We start from the raw sequence: 8,074 nt of genomic DNA on the forward strand, positions 1-8,074 counted from the left end.
ATTGTCTGTGGCTGCTGTCACACTCCAGTGGCAGAGTTTGCTCACCTATAATGCAGACCATTTACATTTCATGTGATTATTGATGTGGTTGTTTTTTTTTTTAACGTGGTTGGATTTTAAACCACTGTGTTGCTATTTCTTTTCATTGGTCCCATCTGTTCTTTTCTCCCTTTTTCCTTTTTTTAAACTTCCATCTTGGGGATTAATTGGGAATTTTTCATTATTCCATTTGATATCGTTTGTTGACTTATTAGCTATAACTCCTTTTTCTGTTATTTTAGTATTTGCTGTTAGAGCATTCAGAAAATAACCACAAGGAATTACCCTGGGATTTCTTGATTCTCTTAATCTGACTTCATCTACCAAAATGTTACCTTTTTGGCTCCTGATAAATTAAGGCATAATGCCGTAGCTTTATTCCCATTGACTCTTTACAGAAAAGAAAGATGGAGGACATAGGGACTTTTGTTTGCCTATATATGAGTATCCGAAATAGATTTCCTATATATGATTTGGATTAAGAGTAGAATTGCATTTTTAGGAACATTGACCTGTAAGATATGTTATAGTGATTAATTCATTAGTTTCAGTCACTTTTTGAAATAGTAAGTGATTGTTAAGATGCTCCAAGGTAAAAATCTGCATCTTTGCAGGCTACCATCAATATTGTTTTTGATCGAGTTGGGAAAACGGATCCTGTCACAAGAGGCATTGAGATCACTGTGAATTATCTGGGAATCCAATTTGATGTAAGTGTTATATCAAGATCCTGGTTTGTCATGTTTCTGTTTTATCTGCTATAACTTATCATTGTTAAGATTCTAATTTGTATACTTTAGGTACTTGCTTCTGCTTTTGTTCTTCCCACTCTGTATATTTTGACGTATTCACATGGAAAATTTTTATATTTTGATGTATTCACATGGAAAATTTGTAAAAGGCCAAGATTCTCTCTCTTAACATAAAGCCAGAAGTAATGACTGATACTTAATATTGTCACGGATGCTGATTATTTCTACAGCTGCTCCTCTGCTTCTCTATAGGCAGCTACCAGTTTACCATTTTCTCCCCACCAAAGTATTCAAATACTTCTCTCTGTGATTCTTATTGAGCTCTTCAAACACACAACTCAGCTTTGATGCTCCAGTGGAAAATTAGCTACTAATTAGTGTTCTGTGTTAGAGCTGAAATGATTTCTGCTGTAAGAAATGATCTTTATCTATTAATGTGGACCTTGGGCTAAAGATGGTAACTGTCACCTATGCACAAAATTTTTTTTTAAATTGTCTTTTTACTGTTTCATAATACCACTGTCATAAATACACCCTTGTCCTAATTGAAGTTCAGTGTCTTTATTCATAAACCAGAGCCAATGACTCTGGCTGAATAGCACTTTAATAGTAAGACCAATGTCATATTCTTAGTCCCAGTGTAGGCCATTTAGCTGTGCTGTCAACCTAGACGCAGACTGCGTGCTACCCCCAGCCATCCATCCCAGCCAGACGTGCCCCTAATCTCAAAAGGACTTGGATGAAATGAAAATGAACAAGAGCAAATTGAGCCCCAATCCTTGAGAAACAGCTCAATGTACATGTTTCTTGATGCTAGATCAATAGTGTATCCTCTTTGAGTGTGAAGGAACATGATATCTTTTCTTCAAGTGGTATATAAATTATATTAAGTATGCTTTACAGGCCACGCAGTACTGTGGCCCACATCTGTAGTCCCAGCACTTTGAGAGGCCGAGACAGATCACTTGAGTCCAGGAGTTCAAGACCAGCCTGGGCAACATGGTGAAAACCTGTCTCTAGAAAAAATATAAAAATTAGCTGGACATGGTGGCATGCACCTGTAGTCCCAGCTATGCAGGAGGCTAAAGCAGGAGGATCACTTGAGCCGGGGAGAAAGAAGTTGCAGTGAGCTGAGATAGTGCCACTGCACTCCACTCTGGGCGACAGAGTGAGACCCCTGTCTCAAAAAACAACAAAAAGTATGCTTTGCTGTTGTTGCATTTGTGTTTCCTTAAGTGTTTTACTGGGCTGAATTTTTAGCAATGCTTTTGCTTTTCTGTACTTTCTGAGGATACTTACATGGCCATGTATATATTTCATCTGTAATTCATCTGTTTATGCTATATTTTGTAATTCTGAATAACAAATCATTTAGATGTTAGTAATAGCAGCTCCCTTTCAGATACTTTTCAGAACTGAATCAAACACAGGGTCCCAAAACTCCTTCTCACTATGAAGCAATACAGGAGGAGAAAAAGGTATCATGTGGTTCCAGTGAAGTTCAACTATTTCCTAGAATTTAGCTGAGAATGTCTATATATTCTTTTACTATAAAAAGAAAGATTCCTTGAAGTTTTGGTGATTAGGGAACTATTATTCATAGATAGAAAATAATCAAGGTATTATTTAGTTTCCTTTTAATTCCTGCTTTTCATTTATCACAGTAAAACTGTATCATTAGTTCTGTTTTTTTCTGATTTATTAGCGTTATTTTTATCACTGCTTGGTACTTGCTGCCGGGCATGGTGACTCATGCCTGTAGTACCAACACTTTGGGAGGCTGATGTGGGAGTATTGCTTGAGCCCAGGAGTTTGAGACGAGCCTGAACTACATAGCAAGACCCTGGCTCTACAAAAAAAATATTTTTTTAATTTTAAGGTTTAATTAAGTCTGCTAATTAAGGTATTTACTGCAGTCTTTCTGTAGTTGTTTTATTTGCCACTTACTTGCTTTCCTCTCTCCCTTAAGAAAAAAAATCAGGTAGGGTCTAATAAAGCTCCCTCTCACAGTCATGTAAATGATTGGGATATAGCTTAGCCCTTACGTCTCTCTGAACAGAGATTTAGCAGATATTTTTTCTTGTTATGGTGGCAGGTGAAGTTTTGGTCCCAACACATTTCCTTCATTCTTGTTGGAATAATCATCGTCACATCCATCAGAGGATTGCTGATCACTCTTACCAAGGTATGTTTTATCACAGTGTTAAAAAGTACTGCTTATCATTTGTTTAATTAAATGTGGTACCAGCCGGGTGTGGTGGCTCACGCCTGTAATCCCAACACTTTGGAAGGCTGAGGTGGGTGGATCACGAGGTCAGGAGATCGAGTCCATCCTAGCCAACATGGTGAAACCCCATCTCTACTAAAAATACAACAAATTAGCTGGGTGTGGTGGCACATGCCTGTAGTCCCAACTACTTGGGAGGCTGAGTTAGGAGAATCACTTGAACCCAGGCAGCGGAGATTGCAGTGAGCCAAGGTCACACACTGCACTCCAGCCTGGTGAAAGAGCAACACTCCATCTCAAAAAAAAAAAAATAGGTGGTACCATGAGATAATTTTACCTCATTAAGAATTCTGCCTCCTGAGACTTTAAACAACAGTGTCAAGGATTTAAAAGACATACAACAGAATTTTTTAAAAGTTAAACTACTACATAAATTGATGATGATATATTTACATCATATACCAATTATAGATAAGTACATTCACTAAAGGTGATAGAGTAAGATATGGGTCTGTTTTGTTCACTGATATGTTATCAGTATCTAGAACAGAACCTAGCACATGGTAGGCAGATATTCAGCAGATATTTGAGACTGGAAGAATAGTTGTGAGAGTCACTTACAGAGAAGATATGGAAGTAAGGGAGCAGAATATAGCAAGTCCTTAATGTCATCAATAAGTTCTTGGAAACAGCAGCTTTAAGCAAAACTATATACCAAGTCCTCAAAAAAATGTTTCATTCAACATTTCATTATAATGCTGTGAGAAAAATGTAGTTTTGTTATACATCATTTCACTTAAAATCTCAGTTTCCAAGATCCTATAAATGGCATTAAGTAAGGACCTACTGAATTCAACTATTTTCTTTTTTTTTTTTTTTAAATTATACTTTAAGTTCTAGGGTACATGTGCACAACGTGCAGGTTTGTTACATTTGGATACATGTGCCATGTTGGTGTGCTGCACCTATTAACTTGTCATTTACATTAGGTATATCTCCTAATGCTGTCCCTCCCCCCTTCCCCCACCCCACGACAAGCCTCGGTGTGTGATGTTCCCCTTCCTGTGTCCAAGTGTTCTCATTGTTCAATTCCCACCTATGAGTGGGAATATGCAGTGTTTGGCTTTTTGTCCTTGCGATAGTTTGCTGAGAATGATGGTTTCCAGCTTCATCCATGTCCCTACAAAGGACATGAACTCATCTTTTTTTATGGCTGGATAGTATTCCATGGTGTATATGTGCCACATTTTCTTAATCCAGTCTATCATTGATGGACATTTGGGTTGGTTCCAAGTCTTTGCTATTGTGAATAGAGTATGTGAATAGTGAATAGTATGAATATTGCACACGCAATAAACATACGTGTGCATGTGTCTTTATAGCAGCATGATTTATAATCCTTTGGGTATATACCCAGTAATGGGATGACTGGGTCAAATGTTATTTCTAGTTGTAGATCCTTGAGGAATCGCCACACTGCCTTCCACAATGGTTGAACTAGTTTACAGTCCCACCAACAGTGTAAAAGTGTTGCTATTTCTCCACATCCTCTCCAGCACCTGTTGTTTCCTGACTTTTTAATGATCACCATTCTAACTGGTGTGTGATGGTATCTCATTGTGGTTTTGATTTGCATTTCTCTGATGGCCAGTGATGATCAGCATTTTTCCATGTGTCTGTTGGCTGCACATGAGAAGTGTCTGTTCATATCCTTTGCCCACTTTTTGATGGGGTTGTTTTTTTCTTGTAAATTTGTTTGAGTTCTTTGTAAATTCTGGATATTAGCCCTTTGTCAGATAAGTAGATTGCAAAAATTTTCTCCCATTCTGTAGGTTGCCTGTTCACTCTGATGGTAGTTTCTTTTGCTGTGCAGAAGCTCTTTAGTTTCATTAGATCCCATTTGTCAATTTTGGCTTTTGTTGCCATTGCTTTTGGTGTTTTAGACATGAAGTCCTTGCCCATGCCTATGTCCTGAATGTTATTGCCTAGGTTTTCTTCTAGGGTTTTTATGGTTTTACATCTAACATTTAAGTCTTTAATCCATCTTGAATTAATTTTTGTATAAGGTGTAAGGAAGGGATCCAGTTTCAGCTTTCTACATATGGCTAGCCAGTTTTCCCAGCACCATTTGTTAAATAGGGAATCCCTTCCCCATTTCTTGTTTTTGTCAGGTTTGTCAAAGAGCAGATGGTTGTAGATGTGTGGTATTATTTCTGAGGGCTCTGTTCTGTTCCATTGGTCTGTATCTCTGTTTTGGTACCAGTACCATGCTGTTTTGGTTACTGTAGCCTTGTAGTATAGCTTGAAGTCAGGTAGCGTGATGCCTCCAGCTTTGTTCTTTTGGCTTAGGATTGACTTGGCAATGCGGGCTCTTTTTGGTTCCATATGAACTTTAGAGTAGTTTTTTCCAATTCTGTGAAGAAAGTCATTGGTAGCTTGATGGGGATGGCATTGAATCTATAAATTACCTTGGGCAGTATGGCCATTTTCATGATATTGATTCTTCCTATCCATGAACATGGAATGTTCTTCCATGTGTTTGTTTCCTCTTTTATTGTGTTGAGCAGTGGTTTGTAGTTCTCCTTGAAGAGGTCCTTCACATCCCTTGTAAATTGGATTCCTAGGTATTTTATTCTCTTTGAAGCAATTGTGAATGGGCGTTCACTCATGATTTGGCTCTCTGTTTGTCTGTTATTGGTGTATAAGAATGCTTGTGATTTTTGCACATTGATTTTGTATCCTGAGACTTTGCTGAAGTTGCTTATCAGCTTAAGGAGATTTTGGGCTGAGACGATGGGGTTTTCTATATATACAGTCATGTCTTCTGCAAACAGGGACAATTTGACTTCCTCTTTTCCTGATTGAATATCCTTTATTTCTTTCTCCTGTCTGATTGCCCTGGCCAGAACTTCCAACACTATGTTGAATAAGAGTGGTGAGAGAGGGCATCCCTGTCTTGTGCCAGTTTTCAAAGGGAATGCTTCCAGTTTTTGCCCATTCAGTATGATATTGGCTGTGGGTTTGTCATAAATAGCTCTTACGATTTCGAGATACGTCCCATCAATACCTAATTTATTGAGTTTTTAGCATGAAGGGCTGTTGAATTTTGTCAAAGGCCTTTTCTGCATCTATTGAGATAACCATGTGGTTTTTGTCTTTGGTTCTGTTTATATGCTGGATTATGTTTATTGATTTGCATATGTTGAACCAGCCTTGCATCCCAGGGATGAAGCCCACTTGATCATGGCAGATAAGCTTTTTGATGTGCCGCTGGATTCAGTTTGCCAGTATTTTATTGAGGATTTTTGCATCGATGTTCATCAGGGTCTAAAATTCTCTTTTTTTGTTGTGTCTCTGCCAGGTTTTGGTATCAGGATGATACCCTAACTCATTTTATGAGGCCAGCATCATCCTGATACCAAAGCCTGAATTCAACTATTTTCTAATCAACGTAGGAAGACTTCACGGAGGTGGAAAGTGAGTCCTCTCTGGTAGGAAAGGTAGGGATTTAAAAATCCAGGAGCTTTTGAATGAAAGAGAAGTGGCTGGGACAGGAAGGGATCTGCAGGCATCTAGCACAGTTTTAGAAAGAGCGTGGGAGCCTACTAACAATTACAACCGCTTGGAGTGGGCTGGAGTGATCTGACTTAATGTTTTATAGTGATGTTAAGTCATATGTATCACATAGTTTCTGAAGTTTGATAGCAATAGGAATCCTTTCATATGTTATGTAATTAAATTACCCCCAGGGGGAAAGTATAACTTTTTCAGCAGTCTATTTTAAGTCTCTTCTTTATAGTCTTAATCATATGAATTGTTCTATACAGGATTGTGGCATGGAAGAGACACTTTTAATCAAATGTTAACCATATTTCTTACTGTTCGTGACACAGGAATCTAACAGTACTGCATAAATTTATCTCCCTCTTTCTTGACAGTTCTTTTATGCCATCTCTAGCAGTAAGTCCTCCAATGTCATTGTCCTGCTATTAGCACAGATAATGGTAAGTTTAATTAGTTACCTTTATGTTGACAGCTGTAAAATATCAGAAATGTGCTTGATACTTTTAAGAATTTTAATAATTTCCTTTGTCCTGTTCCTCACTACATTCAGAGTCACTTCTGGATTAATTCATTTGACTTACAGGGCATGTACTTTGTCTCCTCTGTGCTGCTGATCCGAATGAGTATGCCTTTAGAATACCGCACCATAATCACTGAAGTCCTTGGAGAACTGCAGTTCAACTTCTATCACCGTTGGTTTGATGTGATCTTCCTGGTCAGCGCTCTCTCTAGCATACTCTTCCTCTATTTGGCTCACAAACAGGCACCAGAGAAGCAAATGGCACCTTGAACTTAAGCCTACTACAGACTGTTAGAGGCCAGTGGTTTCAAAATTTAGATATAAGAGGGGGGAAAAATGGAACCAGGGCCTGACATTTTATAAACAAACAAAATGCTATGGTAGCATTTTTCACCTTCATAGCATACTCCTTCCCCCTCAGGTGATACTATGACCATGAGTAGCATCAGCCAGAACATGAGAGGGAGAACTAACTCAAGACAATACTCAGCAGAGAGCATCCCGTGTGGATATGAGGCTGGTGTAGAGGCGGAGAGGAGCCAAGAAACTAAAGGTGAAAAATACACTGGAACTCTGGGGCAAGAGATGTCTATGGTAGCTGAGCCAAACACGTAGGATTTCCGTTTTAAGGTTCACATGGAAAAGGTTATAGCTTTGCCTTGAGATTGACTCATTAAAATCAGAGACTGTAACACTTTTGCCTTACGTTCATTTTATCAAGCATAGCTTGGTATTTATTATGCTTGTGTGATCTAACATGAGTTAGCATCCCACACCTCCTCTTCTGATCCTGCCCCATTAAAATAACCAAGAGGTTATCTGTTCTTTTCCGGGAAAGGGGTGGTATGCACCTGAAATAGATTTTACCAAAAGAGAGATTTCAGTTATGTCATTTTTTCTTGATTTCCTGTGAACTTAGTATTATACCCTACTTTCAATTCGGTAGTGATGTTTCCTTTTTTTTTCTATCTG

General features: G+C 38.3%; 1 protein-coding gene across 12 annotated transcripts in view; it reads left to right on the forward strand.

Annotated features, from left to right (window-relative positions):
- Nucleotides 1–8,074, forward strand: part of GPR89B (G protein-coupled receptor 89B) — a 97,515-nt gene that overhangs the window by 57,126 nt on the left and 32,315 nt on the right. For 6 of the 12 annotated variants that reach the window (NM_001350184.2, NM_001350182.2, NM_001350181.2 and 3 more), the window contains 4 exons: nucleotides 654–749; nucleotides 2,887–2,976; nucleotides 6,957–7,022; nucleotides 7,166–8,047. In NM_001350184.2, coding sequence (NP_001337113.1) covers nucleotides 654–749; nucleotides 2,887–2,976; nucleotides 6,957–7,022; nucleotides 7,166–7,372 — 459 coding nt within the window. In that variant the 3' untranslated portion in view covers nucleotides 7,373–8,047. Of the gene's footprint in view, nucleotides 1–653; nucleotides 750–2,886; nucleotides 2,977–6,956; nucleotides 7,023–7,165; nucleotides 8,048–8,074 lie in introns of those variants that run through there. The other 6 variants (NR_183758.1, NR_183757.1, NR_183756.1 and 3 more) reach the window with 4 other exon arrangements.

The sequence above is a fragment of the Homo sapiens genome, chromosome 1, assembly GCF_000001405.40.
Source record: "Homo sapiens chromosome 1, GRCh38.p14 Primary Assembly".
Lineage (NCBI taxonomy): Eukaryota > Metazoa > Chordata > Mammalia > Primates > Hominidae > Homo > Homo sapiens.